Source organism: Homo sapiens, chromosome 10 (assembly GCF_000001405.40).
Source record: "Homo sapiens chromosome 10, GRCh38.p14 Primary Assembly".
Taxonomy (NCBI): domain Eukaryota; kingdom Metazoa; phylum Chordata; class Mammalia; order Primates; family Hominidae; genus Homo; species Homo sapiens.
The window spans coordinates 88,217,130-88,241,510 of NC_000010.11; the positions used below are offsets into that span (position 1 = coordinate 88,217,130).

General features: G+C 40.6%; 1 protein-coding gene and 1 long non-coding RNA gene across 4 annotated transcripts in view; one reads left to right on the plus strand and one right to left on the minus strand.

Moving 5' to 3' along the window:
- The window catches only part of LOC101929727 (uncharacterized), a 248,010-nt gene that overhangs the window by 85,018 nt on the left and 138,611 nt on the right, over positions 1–24,381 (plus strand). The window lies entirely within an intron of this gene.
- RNLS (renalase, FAD dependent amine oxidase) overlaps positions 1–24,381 on the minus strand; it is a 411,796-nt gene that overhangs the window by 45,607 nt on the left and 341,808 nt on the right. The window lies entirely within an intron of this gene.

The window sequence follows — 24,381 nt, forward strand, 5'->3', positions numbered from 1 at the left end:
AGAACACTTCTAAGACCAGTATTGTGCTACACCCTGCTGGGCGGCACTCTCAAGATATGACACTAGGAGATAACACCTGCTGTTACTAGTGACTAGAAAACAAGGAAGAAGCAGCAAAGTTCGTCAAACGAAACAGGACAGTCAGGGACAGACCACTCAGTTAATTAGAGGTCTTCTGAAAGGGTATGGACTCATATATTTTGCAGAAATAACCTTTTCATCAGTTGGGTTAAAATATATAACAGCTTTGTGGTTTTTGTTTTACCATTTTTAATTAAAAAATGAAAGATCACAACCTTCCTCAAAACATCTTGTCTTCCCAATGGTAGAAAGTGATCCTCACTCTAGGAGTGTGATCTGATACAGAAAGCCAAGATAACTTTGGTTCAAAGCAGGCTAACCCGGGTACACATTACTAGGTAATAGAATAAATTACAGGTTATTCAGAAAAATAAAACAGAGGGTCTCAGCTAGAAAGAGAAACTTGTAGAGATGCTCAAGGTCTGGAACTAGAGCACTATAGAGCAAATGAAAATTCTTATGGCTTTTCTAAACTCAGAAATTTAATTCAGTTTGATACTCAAGAAAATCTCTTATTGCCTTCAAATGAAAAAAAAAAAAAAAAGAGGGCTGGGCGCAGTGGCTCACGCCTGTAATCCCAGAACTTTGGGAGGCCAAAGCGGGTGGATCACCTGAGGTCAGGAGTTTGAGACTAGCCTGGCCAACATGGTGAAAACCCATCTCTACTAAAAATACAAAAATTAGCTGGTCATGGTGGCAGGCACCTGTAATCCCAGCTACTCAGCAGGCTGAGGTGAGAGAATCGCTTGAACCCAGGAGGCAGAGGTTGCAGTGAGCCGAGATCACGCCATTGCACTCCAGCCTGGGCAACAAGAGCAAAACCTCGTCTCAAAAAGAAAAACAAGGAAAAAAAAAATAAAAGACTCCCGATTTTCTGGTTTCTTGCTCTGTGATTAGCCCCAGAAAGCTGGGCTCCTGGGGCTAACTGATGCCACCTGGAATGGGTGCCCGCGCACTATGGTGGCCTGCCCTCAGTATGGACTAAAGGCAGTGCCTCCTCCATGCTAAAGCAGATGCTGGCCCAAGCAACAGCCCTGTGCCTGTCAAAATATAAGCTAAGTATGGCATATGAGACTAGAGAGGGATCACAGAACCTTAGACATTTCCAAGAAAAATGAATAATATAAGGCTAGGTCTCGGATGGTCTGCATCTTATTAATCCCCCTTTTCCACAATGGTGGGCGGGCTGCCGGGGATGTGGGCTGCAGATGGGAAGCACACTTTCCTGGGGTTTTGTTCCATTCTCCAGGCCCCTCCTAGGCACCAGAAGTATTCATTTCCTGGCATGAGCAGGGCTTGGAACACTGGTGTCCAATTTGTCCTTGGGACAGCTTGGACGGCTGGCTGGGCCCTGGAATATTTGAAAGGGCCAATGGACACCCACTGTTAGGATAAGCTATGCCTGACCCAGCCTCCCAGGCCTATCTCTTCACCTCTGGATAACCAGTGTAGGCCCCAGCTGAGCTCTCCTACCTCAATTCCCCTGCCTCTAACTCACCCCAAACAAGGTGGCTGGATTCTTCATCTTAAATCACCATTTAAAGTGGTGAGCTCTGTCTCAAAAGTCAGGAAGCCTTCCTCTTTGTTTCCAAGAGAGCATTTGAATACTTTCATCTCAGACAGGCCCCACCCTCAAGAGCCTTCAATACTCTCCTCATGCTTCCCTCCAAATCTTTGCCAAACTTTTCCCACAGCCTGGAATACTTCTTTGCCTCAACCACCTGCCCCCACCTGTCATTTACCTGCCCTATCCAGACATCCCCAGCTCTCAAGGAATTTTTCAACAGATTGTTTATATCATCCAGTATTTGCACTACTTCTTGGGTAACTAATTGTGTCCTATTTTGTATTTTTCTTTTTAACATATTTGTATACACTTATGCTGATGAGACCATGAATTTCTTCCTCTTTTGTATCTCCAAGAGGGATGACCACATAGTAAGTATTTAATAATTATTTGTTGAGTAAATGGTTACATAACTAAATGATATTGCATGGCACTCAAAACATCTTTGTTATTTGAGTAAATCACAGGTTAGAAAAATCACAGCCTAGCCTCATCATTGCTATTTCCAAGTCTAAATATGATCTATTTAGTAGGTCAACATGCCCTTCCTACCATTTATTCTCATCTGTGCAAAAAGAGGTACTAGAAATATCTTTCATCAATAGAATTTTCCTAATGTTCCTACTCTGCTTAGAAACCTACAGTGATTTCCTATTAGCACTCATGTGAATTACAAACAGCTCCCCTGACTTCTCTGGTCCTGTGACTTCTTGCTTTCATCAACTCCCAGCAAACTTAACTGTTGGTTTCTACCTAATTGTACTTCCCGGTTTCTACCTCATTTTCAGGAAGGGCACATCAGCCAGTCTTTGCTGCTTCCCTCCCTTAGTCATATGGTTGCTTTACCTGACTCCTGGGCACAGACCTAGGGCCTTCTGAAGTTTTATCTTTAAAAGCCATATAAAAGCTCCTCTTAAGGGGGAGTACCAAAAGGGAGGAATAGAACTCTAATTTACCATTCAGTGTCTGTGACTTGTTGAGATTTAAAAAAATAAACAAAAGCAGGCATATTTAAAGCATTAAAGACACATCAATTACTTCCAGCTTGTGCTATTTCCTTTTGAACTCTCCTCTTATGAATGTTACTGTCCCCCTGCTCCTGAGCTCCTTTGCCCCCTTCTGGGATCTGAGCCCACCCTTCAGGGGAATCTCCTCTGGGGAATGGGAAACCAGGAAAAGTGTGACGGTCCCTGAGCTGAGCTGGTACCCTGATGGCTCAGCACACCTTCCCTGCTACTCCCTTCCCACTGAACAAGCTGGTGTCCATCTGCAGTGAAGGGCCAAGGGTGGACAGGGCATTCTGACTTTCTTGGTGACTGAGAAGCATAAACCCTCTAATTAGCAGTTCCCGATTCACAGTTGAGGAGGCTGAAAATCCAGAAAGAGGACAATGCTGGTGCCAGTAGTTCATATGAATGAGTTGTGGCAGAAACACATCCCCAGCCCTCAATTCCACCCACGGCTATATACTTTGTTTTGAAATCTGCTTTCCTTTGCTTGGAGTCAGCTCGAAGAAGGAGCAAAGCATTTTAGGATTTTGGGGTGGGCAGGGTCAAGACTTCAGGTGCCATTAAGCCAAGGGACTGCTGGGGTCAGGGCTGCATTCTATGAACTTCCCTGGCACTTCGGTCTCATGCCCAAGACAGTGCTCAAATTATAGTGGATGCTTTCAGCTGCATGAAATACAGATATCAAAATAACTTTATTATTAAATGACATCTGAGAAGCCAGTCTTCCTTTGATAGATGAGAAAACTGGAGCCTAACAAGTTTACGTAAAATCTTTCTTGGATTTTCTTATTCGTGTATTTATTCATTCTGTAAATATTTATTTAATGCTGGCAGTGTGCAAGGCAGAGGGTCCAAGGACTCCAGTGCATTTGTAATAGAGCTGGGACCAGAACTCAGGGCTTCTCGCTCCTGCCCTAGTATTGTTTTTACTACAAAATATACTAAGACAGCATGTTTATTCATGACTGGACCTGACCATGTGTTGAGCACCTACTAAATGCCAGTTATCATGTATGGGTGTTTGACATAATTATCTCATTCAATTTTGACAGCATCCTTCTGAAAGATAGGTGGTGTTGTCTTTTGTTTGTGATGAGGAAACTGAGACCCAGAGAGGTTGCAAGGAAACCTGTGTTGGGATTCTGCAGCTAGCAAGTGACAGAGTTCGGATTGAGTTTGAGGTCGTCTAAGTGCCTAATCCAGGCTCTTTCCACTCTGGTGCATTTGCTTCTCAAGTGCTCCCAAGACTCCACCTGCTCCCATCAAAGGGCTGCACTCCTTCAGACCGGGAAGCTTTGTATATGCATCCCCCTACTTGGCATGCCCTCCTTTCTTCCTCTCTACCTTTGCAGTCCCACTTGTCCCTCGGGGCTCACATCTTGAAGAGCTCATACTTCAAGAATGTTTAGAGATGAAGAAATCTGGCCACCAAGGTTTAGCCTAGCCAAGCTTGCTGTTTAGAGAGCCATCATTCCTTCAAATGCCTTTCATTTTGTCAAGTTTTACTGACAAGCTTAGGTCAAACTGGTCAGCAGTACCACTTATATAAATGTTTGTCACTGGTCCTTTTGAAAATGAATGTAGACCTTGAACTGTCGTCTTTTCTTTTTTCTAGAATAAACTGCTTCTTGCCTGGGGGATGGTTATTTCCCATTATGCAGCCAAGTCAGAGAATGCTCTGAATAATCAAATATTCCAATGAATGGAGTTACATTACATGGATCAGCAGCTTTCAAGGAATCAGAATAAAATACACTTAACACAAATACTGTACTAAGCATAATGTAATTTTCTTGCTGGTTTTGCTGCTGATCCTGTGAGCATCAATTATCACTTAACAGGGAATCAAGTAACTCTGCCACTAACCTGCAAAGCGATTTTGGGCACACAATCTTCCATTTTGGAGTACTGTTTCCTCTTCTGTAAAACAAGCAAGTTGGATCAGATTGTGTCTGGTGTATGTGTTGCACATGTGTCATCATTCTCCACTCCTGAGCCCATGTCAGACATCACTAATCAATTGTGGCACTTTTTTTTTTCCTTTGATTTCTGACGGCCTCAGCATGCCTCTAAGCCCAGTGTTCCAGCAGCAAATCCGCTCTCAGTAGACTGGAGTAGACACATGAAATGAAATCTATTTGTTATAATTGAACTAGATGATCTCCAGGGTCTCAGCTTTTATGAGCTGCCTGAGGTGAATGCATGCTGGATGGAAAGTTGGGTGGTAGATAGTTTGTACTATCATTAAGCATTAAGTATTTTACCACTCAGCTGAGGGGTTGGGTTTTTTAATTATTATTTTTGTTTGCCTCCATTTCACTGACACATAGGCTTATGTGGCTACTGAAAACTGTGGCAGGAATTATATCTAAAATTCTGGTGGGTAGATTCAAGTGGATTGTGACAAGGGAAGTCTGGTCAGCTTGGCTCGTCCTAGGATTCAACCCACCTTGGAAGCTGTCCTAATAGAAACAGGCAGAAATAATCCAACCCACATCTGAGTTCCCTCATCCCACAGCACTAGGCTGGGACATGTCATTCTGTGTTATGGCTAGTAGGATGTGATATACAAACCTCCTGGTAGATTATAAACTCCTTGGAGTCTGGGAGGAGGCTCTAGTTATCATTTGAATTCACAGCCTGGTCCCACAACTAATAGGCTGTTTACCCCCTGACAAGTTACTTTCTCTGCCTCAATTTTCAATTTATAAAACTGGGGAAAAATAATAATAATATACCTTAGGGGTTTGTCATGAACCTCAGATGACAACATTGATGTAAATGCTTAAAAGACCTCCCGGAATATTGCTTTTTTTATTATTATAAAATCACAGCCTACACAACGCCTGATGAACAAGTGTTACTAGCATGTGTTGACTGATTTAGTTTTCAAATCACCATGAGAGGTAAGTGTCTAACCTTTGGAAGGACTGATCTAAGAAACAGCAGGGAAACAAATATGACAGGATCTGTCCACAAGACTGTGGGGAATTGAACAGGGCAGAGTTAGTACAAAGGGTTTGGATTCATCTGCTGCTGAGGCAACCAGAAATCAATTCGAGGGAGTCACACAGCAAAGGAGGCAGCTATAGTCAGCTTCCTGGCCTTAGGAGAGATTTTTATTCTTTTAACTAGCATCTTCCACTTTTGGAAGCATAGTCTCAAATCATGAAAATACTCTTGTGAGAGCACATTTTTATTTCATTGTGTCCTCAAACAAACCTGTGAGCTCAAGCTCAAGCTCAAGGCAGTATCACCCCTATATGATTAATGAGGCAAAGCTGAGGCCCAGAAAGGTTATGTAATTTGCCTAAGGATACATGGCTTGTGAGGGCAGAGCCTGGGCTGAGACTTTCAGTCTCACAATCTCCCCCATCCTCCTTCTATCCTGTTCTCTTCAGGAACATATTTCAGTTTTAGGTTTCCCGGCAGTTTTTTCTAAACACTATCAAGTAAAAGCAATTTTATTAGTTCATTGATATAAACAATGAGTTGATAAGGGACTTTTATTTTCCCCAAATCCTCCAACCCTATGTCAAATGTCAGATTTATTTTTTGGCTACGAGAAACCATAATGTAAAAATGAGCAAAAATATTCCCACAAAAGGAGTCTGAGAAGTATACCTGGGCATGACTGTGAAAAAGAGGACAGGAACAGCATATAATGCTTAATGAAACGTATAAAGGACAGTACTGGATTTTATTTGAAACACGATCTTCATGTTGCTGCCAAATAAAACAAGTATGAAATAGGCACAAACCACTGTTGGATGTGTTTCTCAAAAGACTTGGGCATAATGTGAAACCAGGAGTTCACATGTTGCCCTTTAAATAAAATACAGGAAAGTGTACTTTCTATGGAGATATGTCTTTTAGTTTTCTTCTTCACTGTAGAGATAGATTTGTGAGGGACCATTATCACTTTACCCCCCAATTCTCTTGGAGACTAGGGCATACAGTAGGCCCATTTATCACAGTTGCACCTCTACCGTGACCTGAAATGTGTGAACCTAGGTTATCATGTTTGCACACTCGAGAGCCCCAACTCTCCTTATGCTGTGGCTTCAGCTGATTAACATCGTCTGGCCCCAAGGAGAGCCACAGACTGGTAAAGCCAATCAGATCCCTTCTTTTAAGAGTTTTAAATCACAGAGAAGAAGATTCCAGTTGGTATAAATCCTTGAGTGAGGAGAAACTGGAGATTGAGGCTAAATTAGCAATATTGGACCATGCCCAAAATGAGCACTCAGAAAAAAAAAAAAAAAGGTAAGGAGAGAAACAGAGAAAAATGGAGTAGATGCACAAAGGGAGTCAGTCTGTTCAGGCTGCTGTAACAAAATACCTTAAACTGGGTAATTTATAAATAATAGACATGTATTGCTCACAATTTTAGAGGCTGGGAAGTCTAAGATCAAGGTGGCGGTAGGTTCAGTGTCTGGTGAGGGCTCTCTGCTTCACAGATGGTGTTTTCTTGCAGAGTTCTCACATGGCAGAAGGGCAAGACAGCTTCCTTTTCATCTTAACCACCTCCTAAAGCCTCACTTCTTAATACTATCACATTGGTCATTAAGCTTCAAAGTGAAATTTGGAGGACGCATTCAGATCATAGCAAAGGGTAATGAAGGCATGAGAAGATATGAGAAAGACCATGAAGGTTTTGAAAACTAGAAGGAATGGTTTCCAAACCCCGCCATGATATCTGATGGGACTTCTTTGCCACAAGATGCTGCCATGTTTTGGCAGAGAGTGGGCACTCTGTCTGTTGGATAAATTGTTGATGAAATAACCCTCCTTCTTTCTTGGGCTACTTTGAGTAGGTTTTTGTTCCTTATATCCAAAGGAGCTTCGATTGGTATTATATAACTTTCTGTAGCTGAAATAATAGGTTTGTAGCTCAATCCCACTGTCAGGCAAGCATTCTTGATTGGGGTTAATAGGGATCTCTTTATTCCCTCAGGTTACGTGCAATCTTTTCTGTTTATGTCAAGGTCATATGTATATGCATGTAATTCAAATGATAACACAAATCATTTACTGAGCACTTATTTTATGACAGTAAGTAGTGTATTATATGCATTGTCTCATTTAATCCCCAACCACTCCTATGAGATTGGACATTTTATTCTCACCATTTATAGATTAAGAAGCCAAGTCTTGGTGAGGACAAAGAAGATATTCAAGATCACCTGATAGGTATCTTACTGGAAAATCCAATGATTAAATTGCTATTGATTTGCTTCAGGCTACAATAGGAAGTATGTGGTGTATCAATGAAATGATATCTGTGTGGATATTTGGATTTAATTTTCATTTCTCTCACAGTTGGAAAAAACAATTTTCAGTTTCTACACCCACTAAATAAGGTGTACTGATATATGCCTCCTACTATCTCAGTGATGAGACCTCTTCACGAGTGTACACATACAGCTGCCAAAAGACAAAAAATTATTCAGCTTAGTGTTTTACGCTTTAGATTCTAAGGGGTCAGTAATGACATACCTTCTGAACTTTGTAAGAAAAAAAATCCAGATTTGTTACTGCCTGTTGAGCTAGCAAATGGAAGAAATTAAAGTTTCAATAACACCCTTTCCTTTTCTCAATTCCCTTCTCATTAAATAGTATAACTGTGGTTTAAAACAACTGGGAGCTGGGTGCGGTAGCTTACACCTATAATCCTAGCATTTGGGAGGCCAAGATGGGAGGCTTGCTTAAGTCCAGGAGTTTGAGACCAGCCTGGGCAACATAGCGAGACCTCATATCTACAGAAAATTTAAAAATTAGTCAGATGTGGTGGCAGGCATCTGTACTCCCAGCTACTGGGGAGGCTGAAGCAGAGGGATTATTTGGACCCAGGAGTTCAAGGGTGCAGTGAGCTATGATCAAACAACTGCACTCCAGCCTGGGCAACAGAGAAAGATCCTGACTCTACACAAAATAATAATAATAAAATAAAACAAGTAGGGACCAATATAGGGTTGCTAATGTATTATTTTACTAAGTAACTAGTTATTTAATTAAAAGTAATAAAATTTAGTTACTAAACACACAAATAGGCATAATTTAGACTAAAGGATGGCTCTTTAAATGAAATGCGCTTAGCTATATAAAATATTTACATCAGTGTCCTATTTTTTTTTTCATCTCACTAAGAACTAGGAAAACTTTGCTGTGAAATGAATTTTGTGAACTATTACTACTGGAGTGTTTTGTATTAGCTTGCAATGAAAGAGACAGAAAATTTGCTTAATATTTTAAAAATGTTATTGTGTTGGATCAATTTTTTGTGTGTACAGTTTTCCCAACTTTTGAACTGTTGAAGTTCTCCTCTGAGGCATTGCTTAAAGGCAAAGAAACTGAGAACACACAGTCATTGCCAGATATTACAATCCAAGACATATTTATTCAGCCCAATGTCAAAGACATCAAAATGGACATTTTTAGCCCTTTATCTATGCACGGTTTGTGCAACCCTTGGTTATCTAGCTTAAAAATGTTAATTTCAGTCTTCAATAAACAACTAGACTCAGAGATATTAATCCCTGCAATTAACGTCTATCCCAACTAGCCATATGCCTCTGGATATAGTTGGAGAAGAATTTCAGCTATCTAAGACTTATGAGGTCCCAGCTCCAGCTGGGACTCAAAATCATGTTTCCAGAACACAAAGAACACTTGATAAAGTTGGAGAGAGATATTTTTTGAAAATATGTCACTAGGCAGCTTGGGAGCAATTTAGCAGCACCATCCTACAGGGTATGAATTTAACCTTTGCTCTCTGAAATGAAGGTCAGCAAATTTGTTTTTACTCTACATATCTTATAATCAATTCAATGTCTGGGTAAATCAGTTTCTAAAGAAGAGGCTGTGTTTGCAGATAAGTGATACTTTCACCCTCTAATTTTTTAACCATTTAACCCTCTCTTCTCTGAATTAAAATTCTTCTCCCTTCACTTTTTTTTTTTTTTTTTTTTTTTTTTTTGGCAGTGGAGGAGGAATCTAAAAACTTAAGATGCAAAATATTAAAAGGGGAAAAATACCATACTGTTGTCTGCAGAGGGTAAAAAGAGTCCAGCAAAATGTCTTTTTTTTCCTTCTAAGAGATGAACATGTGAAAAGATACTTTAAAAATCTGTCTGTTCACCTGAAGCTTTCTTGCGAATCCATACTTTAAACCAGGGTTGACAAAGAATAGCCCATGGGCAAAATCCAACCCACTGCCTGGTTTTGTAAATAAAGTTTTAGTAGAACACAATCATGCCCATTCATTTAGTTATTATCTATGGTTTTTGGACTACAACAGCAGAGTTGAGTAGTTGCAAGAGAGGTCATATGGCCCAAAAAAGACTGAAATGTTTACTATCTGGCCCTTTATAGAACATGTTTGCTGATTCATGCTTTAAATCAAAGAAAGAGTCTTGGAGAAATGACATGGTGAAAATACATCCTTAGCCTAGATACAGCAATGGCTTAGGGGTAAAGGAGAGTAGATACTGGTTTTAATCCAAGCATTCACTTTGTAGAAACATAGAACAATATCAAGCTGATGAAATGAACAATAGTTGGGAATGCACTATAATGAGGTAAAGACATAATAACTAAATTTACTCCTCTGATTCTCCAGCAGCTTATCTAATAACAATATGCTATGGTAGCGATGAACCCAGCATCCTCAGCTAATGTCAGCCATTTGGGAATAAGAGTTTCTTCCCTGCAGCAGATGTGTGGCTCAAAGTTCACCACGAGTGCACTCACAGAGAGAGCACAGCATGTGTTGTTCTGTGAGGGACCAGTGCTGGCCTGTCAATGGAATAGCTAATTTAGTTAAAGGACTGGGGAAATAGTGGGGGTGGCAGGCTAGAACTTGGGAAAAGAAGAGTTTTAACCCTTTCTGGGTATGACTTTACTTTTCAAATAATGATAATTCTGCTGCCTATAGAATTTGAACCAAGAGAATGAAATGCAGTTTATATCATTCCTTGCCAGTCATCCTACATGGACAGCTGCCAGGAGGCTGATATGCAGAGGCGATCATTGCATGCATGGTTATTTCTGTCGTAGACGCTCGTCATCCCTTGAAATTGCTCTGCTCCTAAGATTCCAAATTCCAGCCTCTGCTTGCTTGTCTCAGAAGTCTAGTACGTGGACTAAGGAGGGTGGGCTTCCTCAACTTCCCTCTCCAACTAAAACTGCCGGGTATTCATCCTGGGCCTAGATTTTTACATCTCTCTTGGAAGAAGGGCGGAGACTCACCTCGTGGCTTGTGTGTTGCCATACTTTCTGATTTCTTTAGACCATTGCTTTGTCATCTTCAGGTTATTCCTCTCTTTCCATTTTCCTAGCAAACATGGTTTGGTCTTACTTACCATAAATATGTAAAAAATCAAAAACAAAAACAAAACTCTTTTCCTCAACTTTGCTGTTCTCTTTTGCTGCTTTCCTAGTGGCTTAAATAAGTTTATTTCTTGTACATGCAATGGCCACAGAAGATTGGGTGGCTTTTCTCAAGAGGACTTATGCTGTATTCAGTGATTCAGCAATCACGGGTTTTTCATCTTTCAGTTTTGTTGTTTCTGCACAGGGCCTCCCCCATGACCACTGCAGCAGGGATGAATCTGGCACAGGCTTTTCCCTGCCTCAGTCCAGAAAGAACCCACTTCACATTTCTCTGAAGAACTACCACATACTCTTCCACAGTGCAAGGACGCTGGGAAGTACCATTTTCCGTGTGCCTGGAACGGGAGTAGAACCAGATATTGGTGAATACAGTAATGCATTCCACAACAACTTCCATAAGGAAGTGCCACTACTTCTTCGGTGTCCACCACTGTCTTCCAACCCACATCTTCTCAAATCTGGTTTTTGCCACAATCACTCCACGAAACTACCTTTGTTTTTGCCTTATCTTTTCCTTACAGTGATCACCTTGTCTATCTAACCACATTATCTTTGCTACTTCTGCCTTGGTTTCTTGGCGGAATTTGATCCAAACTTTATCTCGTTTCTTCCTGAATTCACTTTTTGGTTTGCATAACAGCACATGTAGCATCTCAAGCTTTCCCTCATCCTTTTATACAGACCTTCTCTCAGTTTCTTTCACTGATTTCTCTTCCTCTTCCTCCTACTCAATGTAGGGAGTCCATGTAGCTCAGACTTTTCTTTGCATTCTCTATGTCCTCACCCTTGGGCTTCAGCCTTCAGCTCTGAGCATGTAACTCCTCAGTCAATCAATCAATCCATCAATCCACCCATCCATCCCCTTCTTCAGATCTAGAATTACACCTCTAAATTTCACTTACATTACACTTCCACTTTTAAATGGACATAAATTCATAAATTCATAAGGTCTAAAAATAAAAGATCTTCTTCCAACCTAACAATTTCTATTAATAGAACTGTATCTGTTAGAATACCTGGGATACATGACAGAATACCCCAATTCAAGTGCCTAAAATAAAGAAATGTATTATCTCAACTAGTGAGAAGTTGAGGTGCTTCTCTCAGCTCTGCCTCGATGTGTGTATCAGTTCTGGCTTCTGTTGGCTCCTCTCACAGTAGTTAGACCCCTCTAATAGCTCTAGTGGTCATATTTAGAGGCTATATTCAGCCTCCAGAGGAAAAGTAGCCAACTTTCTTGTTTCTGTTTAAGAGTGGCAGAAGCTTTCTTGGAAGTCTCCTTAGCAGTCTTCCCTTTGCTCCTTAAAAAAAATTACTAACAGCTTCATTGAGATACAGTTTACATATTATGTAAGTCACCTATTTAAAGTCTATAATTCAATGGCCTTTTAGTACATCCACAGAATTGTGTGGCCATAACCACAATAAATTTTATAACATTTTCATTGCCCCAAAAGAAACCCTTTGTCCATTAACAATCACTCCTTGCTCCCCTCTCTCCCCAGTCTCTGGCAACCATTAATACACTTTCTGTCCACATGGATTTATCTATTCTGAACAGTTTGTTTAAACAGACTCATATAATATGTGGCCTTTTGTGTCTCGCTTCTTTCATTTAGCATACTCTTTTGAGCTTATCATTGTTGTACTGTGAATCAGTACCTTATTCTTTTTTATTGCTGAATAATATTCCATTGTGTGGATATGCCACATTCTGCTTATCCATTTCTTGGTGGATGGGCATTGGGGTGGTTTCCATTCCTTTGCTTCTTTTGCTAAGAATTTCTGCAGCTGCTTATGCCTAATACAATCCCTGGAAAGCATGGACAAATGGAGCCACCTGGATGATGTGGACAAATGGAGCCACCTGCATGACTTGGAGAAATGGAGTTGTCTGGGACAAATCAAGACTCATTCCTCAGGTTGAAGATGAGTCAATCTTCTCTGAAGCAGTGGCCACTTAGAAGAGGCTGAATATTTGAACAAAACTGGATTTCTGTTAGAAATGAGGAAGGGAGGGCTGGTAGGGAATGTGGGATAGACAAAAACAAGCAAACAAACAAACAAAAACAAAAAACAAAGTAACAGACCTGCTGCAGGTAACAACCAATTTTTTTTGTAGTTCTGAAACTTTGTCTTTTTCTTTCTCCTGACCCGTGATATCCAACTGGTGGCCGAGCTTGTCTATTTGATCTCCATGGTTTCTTCTCTCTCGTTGCCCTCATCCACCTGAGTCGCCCCCTCTGCTTCATGCTGACATTACTTCTCAGCCATTCTTCCCTAACGGCCTCCTGCTGAGACCCGTCTTTCTGTCGTGCCTTCTTCCCCCTCCAATGCATCTCACACATCTTGGTGAGTGCAATCTTTCCACAGCGTACATCTACTGGTAATAATGTTACAGCCCCTGCTCAACTCTACTGCCTATAAAACTAAGTCCAAATTCATTACTCACACAAATAAGGTCAGTCTCAGCATCTCTTTATTTATCTGTCTTAGCCACAAATCTCTTCCTTTACTTATATAGCTCCAACCTATTATTTGAGACATCTTAGATAATAATAGCCAACATTTATTGAGATGTTGTGTGTCAGTGCTGTTCTAATACTCATGGGATTATCCCATTGGTTCCTCCCAAGAAGTCTATGGGATTGATACAATTATTAGTACCAATTAATAATTCATACAATTGTTAGTTAAATATGAGGAAATCAAGGCTAAATATGTTGTCTATGATGATATAGCCAGTAGGTAGTCAGGCCAGGATTTACTTCCAGGCAGTTTGATTCTTATGTGGAAACATCTCCTTCCTGAATCCTTTCCTGATTCCATATCCCTTTCCTTCATTACCTCCTCTAACCTCTCAACCCACCCTCAATTACTGCAATTTCTCCCTCCTTTTTAATCATATAGCATTTTCTTTATAGGGCTGAGCTTCATCCCCTTCAAATTCATATGTTAAAGTCCTGGCCCTCAGTACCTCAGAATGTGACTGTATTTGGAGACAAGGCTTTAAAGAGGCAATTAAGGTTAAATGAGGTCATTAGGTTAAGCCTCTAATTCAATATAACTGGTCTCCTTATAAAAAGAGGAGATTAGGATACAGATGTGCACGCACAGAGGAAAAACCCACGTGAGGACTCACTGAGAAGGTGGCCGTCTGCAAGCCCAGGAGAGAGGCCTCAGAAGAAACACCCTGCTGACATCTTCATCTTGGAATTCTAGCATCCAGAACAGTGAGCAAATACATTTCTGTTGTTTATGCCACCAGTGTGTGTGTGGTATTTGGTTATGGCAGTCCTTGGAAACGTATACACTTTCTGGACCTCAGTCACCTCATCTGTAAAATGGGTTGCTGGAGGATTTAGTGGAATAAATTTCTCAGCACAGTGCCAGGCACTTTCTTGTACAGCAACCAGCCAACAGCCATTTCTCCCTTCCTGTCATCCTAAGGTGACCTTTGGGGACAGAAGTGTCAGGGCTGGTAGGGGCGTAAGGCTGAAACCCCTGACCACTGGCAAATAAGCAAGTTAAGATGAGCCCAAAGAGTACCAGTAGCTACAAATAGAGACAGATTCCAAGATCAAGCACTAGGCAGACAGAAGTGAACTAGGAGACAGGGAGACATGTTGTATCTGTATCCACAAGTAACAGAAAGCCTGTCTCAAACAGAATTAAACAACAAAAAAAATTGGATGTATTTGGGCCTGCCAGTGAATAGTTCAGGGATGGGTACAGAAACTCAAAAGATGTCACAGGATTTCTGTGTGTGTGTGTGTGTGTGTGTGTGTGTCTGTCTCAGATGGCTGAGTTCCTTCTATTCCAGTTCTTCAAAAGATTCCATGTTTGTGGTTGTGAGATGTCTGTGGTGGTTCTAAGACTTCACTTGCTTGCAGTTTCAAAGTTTAGGAGGGGAAAGTTCATCCTTCTTTTAATCATCCAGGCAAGGCCTGGGACTAGATTTCCTTGCTTTTGTTTAGCTCCTCTTGAGTCGGGTGCCCAATGCTACACTCACCTCTTGGCAGGGGCAGGGGATCTGATGAGCTGGTGGCTTAGGCCTGTGTCACATGGGCCACGACTGCATCTGAACCACCCTCCAAAGAAGGTCTGAGGGAAGGGGACCAGAACAATGACCAGAAGAATGGTGATGAGATCCAGACACATGGCCACTACACCCACACCCACATAGAAAAAGAGGTGATTTTCAACAATAAAGCCAAGGAGTTCTCTTTTTCTCTCTCCATCTCTCTCTCCTTCTCCCTTTTCTACATCTTTTTCTTTTTTTAGAGACAGGATATCGCTATGCTTCCCAGGCTGAACTCCAACTCTTGGGCTCAAGGGATCCTCCCACTTTAGCCTCCCAAGTAGCTAGGACTACAGGCATGGCACCGTGCCCAGCTTCTTACTTCCACTTCTTAAAGTAGACTTCTGACTCCTAACACATTTTTGTTGTGACCTAGTTTAAGTTCATTTTGTCATCCGATCATTGGCTTTAAGGTGGCCAGTCTGCCAGCCTGCTGCAAGACTGAATGGGGCAGGGCCCCTAGTGACAGCAGTGGAGCCATCTTTCAACCAAGCCATCCTTTCCTGTCTACAAGTGCTTGACAGCCTTCTAGAGTCTCTTGCCTGCATTTCTAAGTCTCAGGCTCAAGTAGACTCAATTCCAGGTGGCACTTGTAATGTGTGACATACCAAAGACAATAGTAGTAATAATGGTTACTATTAAAGGAGTACCTACTATGGGTCAGGCACTGTGACAAGTATGTACATGTTCCAATCCTGTGTTACTCTCAACTCACCCGTGAGCATCCTCATTTTACTGATGCAGAAACGGAGGCCCAGAGAGGTTAAGCAACCTGCCTGATGTTTCGCAGGAGGAAGTGGAAGAACTGGAGTTCCAAATCAGGTCTGCCTGCGTCTAAACCCCTTACTCTTTATCACTCAGCCCCACCACACCGCCTCCACAGTTGGCAGGCCGGACTGGACTGCAGTCTGCAAGCAATTAGCGAAAGCAGCTCTCCAGCAAATCCAAGAAACAATCCAATCTGTAAAAGGGGAGGGGGAAGCCATCTTAAAAGAGAAAGCTTTTTTCCTCCCCAGCTGGTTAAGGGGGAGCAGTTTGCCACAGGCTGCTGAGGGCAAGGAAGGGGCAGAATGTTCACTGAATGTTCATTCTCCCAATTGTTTTTCTATGACATTGAGCTCACACTCCAGGGAAAATGCAGGGCCTGAGTTGAAATGTCGTCCAAAGCCATTCAGCTAGGGCTTTAAAAGGAGCTTTTGTTGGTGGAAATCTCTTTACTGACCTGACTTTCCCTGGGCTTGGGTTTGCCTGACAAAATAAAAGATGACCAGTTAAATTTGAATTTCAGATAAACAACGCGTAATCATCTGGGATAAGTACGTCCCATGCAATATATGGGATATACCTATCCTAGAAGATTATGCGTTATTTATCTGAAATTCAAATTCAAATGGGTGTCCTGTATTTTTACTTGCTAAATCTAGAAACTTTGTCAGTTTTGGACTTCAAGAGTAAGCCTGTTCCCTCTGTCTTGCTGCCCAACCAGAATCCAACAGGTTATTTTATTCCTGTGAAGGAAGCAGAATTTAAGGATGCATTCTGGAAGATGCATGCTTATGCATGCTCTATCTTTCCATCTTGCTTTTTAAAGAAAATGTTACAAAAATGATGTGGGCTTTGTAAATAATAACAAAGATAATAATAATCCTTTCAGGATCTGGGAAATGTCTTGAGGGTTTGGGGGAATCAACTTTCCACTGAAGTTCCTGGAAACCGGTCAGTACAATTTGTATTTAATAAAGAGCAGCCAACAGTGCTGCCACAGCATCTTGTGAGCGCATCCCACAGAGGAAGTGGGCGATGGCCCTGACCCCCCTGCAGCAGAGGCCCCTCCCTAAGGATTAGCCGTGAATTCCAAGCTCTGCAGGACCAAGTGACAATGGGAGATTGGGAGCAGGGAGGGAGAAGGAAGGGACCAGACGGAAAAGAGGAAGAGAGAGAGAGGAGGCTTTAGTGCAAATTCAACATCATTTCCCTCATCGCAATGCTCCCTGCTTCCCTCTCATTTATAAGTCTGGAGCACATTCTTGGCATTGAGACTCTCATGCTTGGACCCTTCTCTTCTCTTGGTTCCTGGCACGGTGAATTTGGCCATTTGCTGCAGTGATGGGCCATTCCAGGGAGTGCCCCATCTAACCAGCAGCAGGCCAGCTGTCCAAGGAGCCTTTTCAAAAGGGAAGACACCCTGGGAGGGCAAGTATTTGCCAAGTAACTAAGTGTCCCCTTGTTTCCAGGTGCTTAGTGTATGTTTGTGGGTGCGCACAGCAGTGAATACAAGGACCTATTGTGTCCTGTACTCTAAAGCTGGCTGAGGGCCTGGTAGCCAGGGTGGGTCACGATTCACTGCAACTCAACACATTTTTATTGAGCTCCTAGGTTCAACACCCTGTGCTCAGCCTGTAGGAAATGTAAAGATAAGGTCCGTCCTGAGTTTCAAGAGTCTTAAATTCTAATAGGGGATAAGGCAAAGAGACAGTAACAAAGCAGGCAGAACAAAGTCGGTATTGTCAGAGGGGTAAAAGTCAAAGCTTTTAAGATGCTCAAGACAGCAAGAAAATATATCTGCTTTTAGAAGAGACCAGGAAGGACTTCATGGAGGAGGTGGTGTTCAAGATGAGTCTTGCAGATAAGTGAGATTTCATTAGGGTGGGTATGGAGGGGTGGATATATTTGGCAATTGGTGTTTTATTGTGTTTCATGTAGAAATCCCTAACATGGGCCGGGCGCGGTGGCTCAAGCCTGTAATCCCAGCACTTTGGGAGGCCGAGGCGGGTGGATCACAAGGTCAGGAGATCGAGACCATCCTGGCTAACACGGTGAAACCCCGTCTCTACTAAAAATACAAAAAAATTAGCCGGGCGTCGGGGTGGTGGCGGGTGCCTGTAGTCCCAGCTACTAGGGAGGCTGAGGCAAGAGAATGGCGTGAACGCGGGAGGTGGAGCTTGCAGTGAGCCGAGATTGCGCCACTGCACTCCAGCCTGGGTGATAGAGCGAGACTCTATCTCAAAAAAAAAAAAAAAAAAAAAAAAGAAAGAAATCCCTAACATGGATCCAAAATGAATTCTGCTAGTGATAAATATGGTCATATGCTAGTATCCAAAGCAAACAAGCACGACTGATTTTATTACAAAGTTTTTCCTTGAGGAGTATCTAGGTGATATCAACGACTCACATGGACAGCTGAAACAAAACACCAAGCTCATGTGCCAGACATTGTGTTGTGTGATTTACATGTAATATATTACTCAATATGAATGAATGGCATTTTTCTGGATAATATTATCATATCAACTTCAAGATTAAGAATGTGGTCAAGTCAATTTATACAACCCCACTTCATCCACCCCTCCACCTAGATTCAAAAATTCTTCCATTGGTATTACAAAGTCTACTTTTTGTTCCCCTTCAGATTGTTTTCATTGATATGCCATTTTTGTCATTGTATGTATTCAGTAAAAATGACTAATATGGACAAATATATAGACAATTACTTTTTTCTCTTTATTTTTCATATATATATATAGACAGAGAGAGATAGAGAGGTTTTTTGTTGTTATTGCTGTTGTTTTGTTTTTTTGTTTTTTTTTGAGACAGGGTCTTGTTCTGTTGCCTAGGCTGGAGTGCAGTGGTGCTATCGCTGCTTACTCTAGCCTCAAGCTCCTAGGCTGAAGTGATCCTCCCACCTCAGCCTCCCTTAATTAACATTTACTTAAATAAGAAATTATGTGAAAATTTTGCTTGACTCTGATCAATATCCATTTATTTCTTTGTGATCTTTAAGTGTAGTATTTATGGAATGATTGCTACTGAACCCCTGCACTATGTTAAATACTGCTTAAGATATGGCAAGGTTTCTAAAATATTCTGAAGAAACCATGGTATAACATTGAAAATAGTTGGATTTTGCTTAATTGTGTCAAAGTTCTGGAGAAGAAAAAGCCCTGGCTTCTTTAAGAAAGAGGTGGAGGCTTTGGCAGCCTGTAAAAACTGTTGGCACACTTCTTGTCATAGAAACCACTTTCCAAGTCAAGGAAGTCTTGATAAAGGAGGAGGAGGTAGAGTTCTGAGCTGGCTCTATGGGGCCTAAGAAACCATTTCCTGATTTAGAAAAAAGGTCACAGGGAAACACTATTTTATAAGCCTTGATGGTTTAGCTTTCTTTTTAGCTAATCCTCTAGGGATGAAAAGAGGTTCTTCAACCTACAAGAAAAGAAAGGCTACCCTTGATAGTAGCCCTCCAGATATAATGAGGAGGGTGGTACCAAGGTAAATGGTTGCTCAACACAAGTGCTAGTCAGAGAGGTGGCAGTGCAAGTCAGGGCTCTACCAAGATCTCAGACAATTCATTTAGTCTATTCACACTTCAGTTTCTTCATACATTAAATGTGCATCATGCCGTTATTTCATAGAGCTGTTATAATCATTCATTTATTGAACAAATAGGTATTGAACGCTTACCATGTGCCAGGCCTGTGCAGATAAAGCAGACAGCCCCTGCTTTGATGGAATGATGAAATGAGATGATGCCTGCAGAGTCTACTGCAAGGAGTCAATAAATGCTGTGATGGAAGCTATTCTCCCAGTAGTGATAAGTACAAGCATCGAGAAAGGGCTATCTTCCAGGCTTTTTTTGTTGTTCATTGGAAGCACTGCTAAGTACAGGGCTACTTCGAAGTTCTAAAATTCAGGTAGACTACTGGAGTGTGTTTTTCTTACACTCCAGTGTAAGAAAACCCTGCTAAGATCAAGTTGGATAAAGTTGCCATTTATGATAAAGTCAGATCAAGTTGGATAAAGTTGCCATTTATGATAACAAAGTCTTATGAAGGAAACGTCTTCAAATTATATTTCTAGGGTTGGTTTTTTTTTCTTTTAAATTTCCTATACTGGCATATTTGTTACGTGAACATGTCAGTAGTTAACAAGTGGTCAAATTTTATATGTAGACACTTTGAGTCCCTCCCTCCCTCCCTCCCTCCCTTCCTTCCTTCCCTCCCTTTCTTCTTCTTTTTCTTTCATCCTTTTCCTTCCTCCCTCCCTCCCTTCCCTCTTCCCCTTCCTTCCTTCAATACAAAAGCATCATAAGTTAGATCTTGTCTGAAAAGCCTGATTCATTCATCTACAAAGGAATTGCCATAATCAAGGTGCCTCTGTCTACTACAGAAATGGATGTCATGAGCCTATTAGACATTAACAAATGTCTCTGGCAAGCAACAGAAAATGCTATAGCAGTGTTGTAATATTTGCGGTGATAATATTTATATACTTCCAATCTTATTTTATTTTATAAAATATATTATTCCCTCTTAAATACTGATGTCCAAAGCTAACTTGAGACCACAGAAAAGACTTTCTAAGACATTTCTTCTAAGCATGGGCTTATAAGAAAGTAGCAGAGAATGATGCTTTTTGTGTACTGCAAGCTTGGCTGCTATATGGCACAAATAAGGCTGTATTTCTATTACCTATCAATGAACAAATCTATCAACCAATGAACAATTATTTAGTATCTGCTTTGTGCAAGAACCATGTTGGATCCCAAGGGAGTTACCAAAAAAAGTAATTAAATAATAAAACAGAATTCTGCCCTCTGAGGACCATGTAGTTGAAGCGGTAACAAAAGGTTAATTAACAATTAAAAGTCAAGTGACAGTTGTTCCCCCCAAAATCATAAAGGGGAGAGTTTTGGGAAGGTTTTGTAAGGAAAGTACTCTTTCAAAGACAGGCAGGGTTTATTTTAGGTAACTCATTTTCTAAAACATGTCTAAAGGCAAACTAGGGAAAAATGTCTTCCTAGGAACTTGAGCTGCCATGTGGTACAAACCAGACTGTATTTCTCATATTTATCAGCCAACAGATTCAACAGTCAACAAGCATTCCTTGAATATCTGCTTTGTACAAGAACCAATGCTGGATTTTTAAAATTTGTTTTTTTAATTTTGGAACTTAATGAATTTTAGAACATATGTGTTGAATATTTGAGGACAGATTTGCAACCTCTGTAATGTTCTAGGAGAAGTTGAGCCCAATTTCCTTGAGCCAGCAGCCTCCCCAGCTTCCCAGAGCCTCGGAGGCTATGCTTTTGGCATTCCCCATAGCATAGATGAAACAAACACACCATTTGAAAGCCCAAAGTGTAAGAATGATTACATTCTGCTGAGCCCTTCTCTGATCACAGGAATTTTGCATCTGAGTAAACAGGGAGTTGAGGCTGGAGGCTGATGGATGTGAGGGGCTACTTCCTTAAACTTTAAAGCAAGCACGGTTCCTTTTATCAGACAGTGGAATTACTTTGGTTTAGAAGGAACTCATGCACAATAACCTGGTAACTCTCAAAGTGAAAATAGGGACTTGCTCCTTGTTCATTTCCAGGCTCATGGGAGCTGAACCATGAATTAAGAGTTTGGCTCATTAGGAAGGACAGACGATTGGGCACGCTGTGGAGCCAACATGTTTTATGAGGCTGGGAGTAGGTTACACAAAGTGGCACAGACTAAGAAAGGAAGATATTTGGAAATATTTTTTCTGCTTAAAGCTCTGAGATTGCAGAGGGTTTTCTTAGCTCTGTGGAATTTCTTTAACTGCCTTGGGATTTCTAGGTTTCTAAGAAGCTTGAGGTGGCTGTTAACCTAATACACAGTTGAAGGAAGCCAAGACAGCCTCCCTATGCCAGCCATGTGGTAGGATGTCTTCTTAAAAGACTCTTTGAAATCAAACATGTAAGGAAATCCTTCTTTTCTGAACTAGAGCCTCTGAAACTGGGTCAATAGCTCTCATCCTTGTCTCCTGCTTGCTTTGCTGAAGCACAGTGTAAGCAAATAAATATCAACGAATTGCTTAATGATTTTCATAAGGCTCCATCCTTTCAAGGCAAGGGGCTCTCCTGAAATGTTTGATCTGCTCTGTATGAATCTGTTTTCCAAATGGCCAGCACATGTCGAGGCCTGCTGTCCTCTGGGTTACAGGAAGATGCCTTTGATGGGTTAACCGCAGAGTAACTGAACTCTTTTCAAGTCCCTTTCCAAAGTTCCTTTGTCCTGCTGTGGATCTTGCCACTTGGATTGGATCAGCAGGAGACTGCTCCTGGCAGCAGGTTCTAGAACATTCTCCCTCTGATTTGAGCTTGGTCACTGGTTAATGCCATCTGAAATATGGCATTCCAAAGGTTGAAAGGCAAGCACCAGGCAGTGATGAAATAGTTACCCAAACTCTAGATGAGCCACTCAGACTTTTCCAGCATTCTGCACCCAATTTGTGCCTGAATGAATTTCCTTAAAGCCAGATGAAGTTATCATCATTTTCAACTGTCTTGTTATTAGCAAAACATCTCAGCAGCTGCCCGATGCTGCTTTCAGTTGGATATTACCACTTTGGTAGTGGCCTTCCACATTCTGTAGTGTCCTTTCTTTCCCAGGCTGGGTGGAAATGTTTAACCAATAACTTTCTCAATATCTTGCACATACATAATAAAATGGTAATTTGGTTTGGTTTATTTCTACAGATTTTGATACACATTCAAGTTACAGCATAATGGCTGGGACTTACATGGTTATCATCAAGTTGAGGGCAAACTGGAGAAAGTTTTCCCTTCTCCAACAAGAGGAAGAAGAAAAGGGCAATTCTGGTAGCTGCTAGCTGGTGGGTCCAGTGCCTTGGGCACAGAGGAATTATTGAGGACCAAAATATTATATTTTGTTATTTTCTACAAAATTTAACCTTTTGTGAAGAAATCTTAATGATAACCCAAAAATGTAATAACTATTTATAAAAACATAATGAAAGATATAATAGAGCAAGATGTAAGGAAATGGAGACATCTTTCCTTCTTCGCTCTGTTTTCAAAGTTAAAATACTTTTATCAATAACATTGCCATTATTAGGCAATACTTAACTCTACATTTTCTATATACTTACAAGGTAACCATGTTTTTTCTTACCTTCTGTGATTCTGGCTATCCAAAACCCTCATCTCCTTATCTATCCGTATACTGAGTAAACTGCTGGCAGCTTTGGGCTAGTGCAACAAATCTATATCAAGTAGTGACTCTGCCTGGCGCAGTACTAGCTTGGGCTTTAAAAGCCCATAATACTTTTTTTATTTTTCCTCTTGATATTAATTGAAATCAGGTGATGGCAAAAAGTCCTTTTTTTAAAAAAAAAAAAATTTAGGCTACTGGCACTAAATTCTCTTAAATAGTCATTTCCTTCTCATACAAGAAATACTTGCTAATTTCAGACCAATCTTCAAACTGTATTTTCTATTTTGGTTAATTGAATTACCATCCACCCAGCCACCTCGTCTAGAAAGCTGAGAGTCATAATAGACTCTTTTCTCTTCATTACAACCTTCCTCCCACATCCAATCAATCACCAGCTTCTATCAATCTTCCCTCTTAATTATTACTGAAATCCGCCCTCTCCTCTGTCTCTGGCATCAGAGCTTTTCTCCAGCCTTTGACATCTTGAATCTCCTATCTAGATTTGCCACCATGACCTCCTCCTAATCATTCCCTTAGCCTCTACTCTCTTTCCTCTTCTAATTTATTCTTCTCCATTTTCATACAAAGCTTATCTTTATCCAAATTAAAATTTAATAACTAATATATCATGGAGCTATGATTTAAACCAGTTGGCAAAGATTTTTTTTTTCAAAAAATCATGACTAGGTGTAAAATTTTACTGAATGTTTTTCATTATTTATCATCATATGTCTATAATAAATTATATAATTGATTTTCTTATGTTAAATTCTTACATGAAATGTAAGAATTATTTTCTATGATATTTATATATATATTCCATCTGGATTGCTTGCTAGCATTTATTTAGTACTTTGGCATGTCTGTTTGTATGTGAGGTTGATTCTCATTTTGTACTTTTCCGGGTTTGACATCAGGGTTATAATAGCTTTATAAAATATTTGTAAAATATTTTTCTTCTGGAATGGTTATTTGTTAGGGGTTATTATTTCTCCCTTTAATTTTTCAAAAAAAAAAAAAGTCCGCAAAGTTTTCTGGAGCTAGTCTTCTTTTGTGGAATATTTTTGACTATTGAATTAATTTTTTCCTCGCTGGTTATAGGTTTATTTAATGTCAATTTCTTCTCAACTTAATTTCCATAATTTATGCTTTCTAAAAATTGTACAATGTATCTAAAGTTTTAAATATATTGGCCTAAAGTTGTTCATGTGATTCTCTTATGATTTTTAAATATTTACTTTTTGTTTCAATGTCCCTTTTCATGTCTAG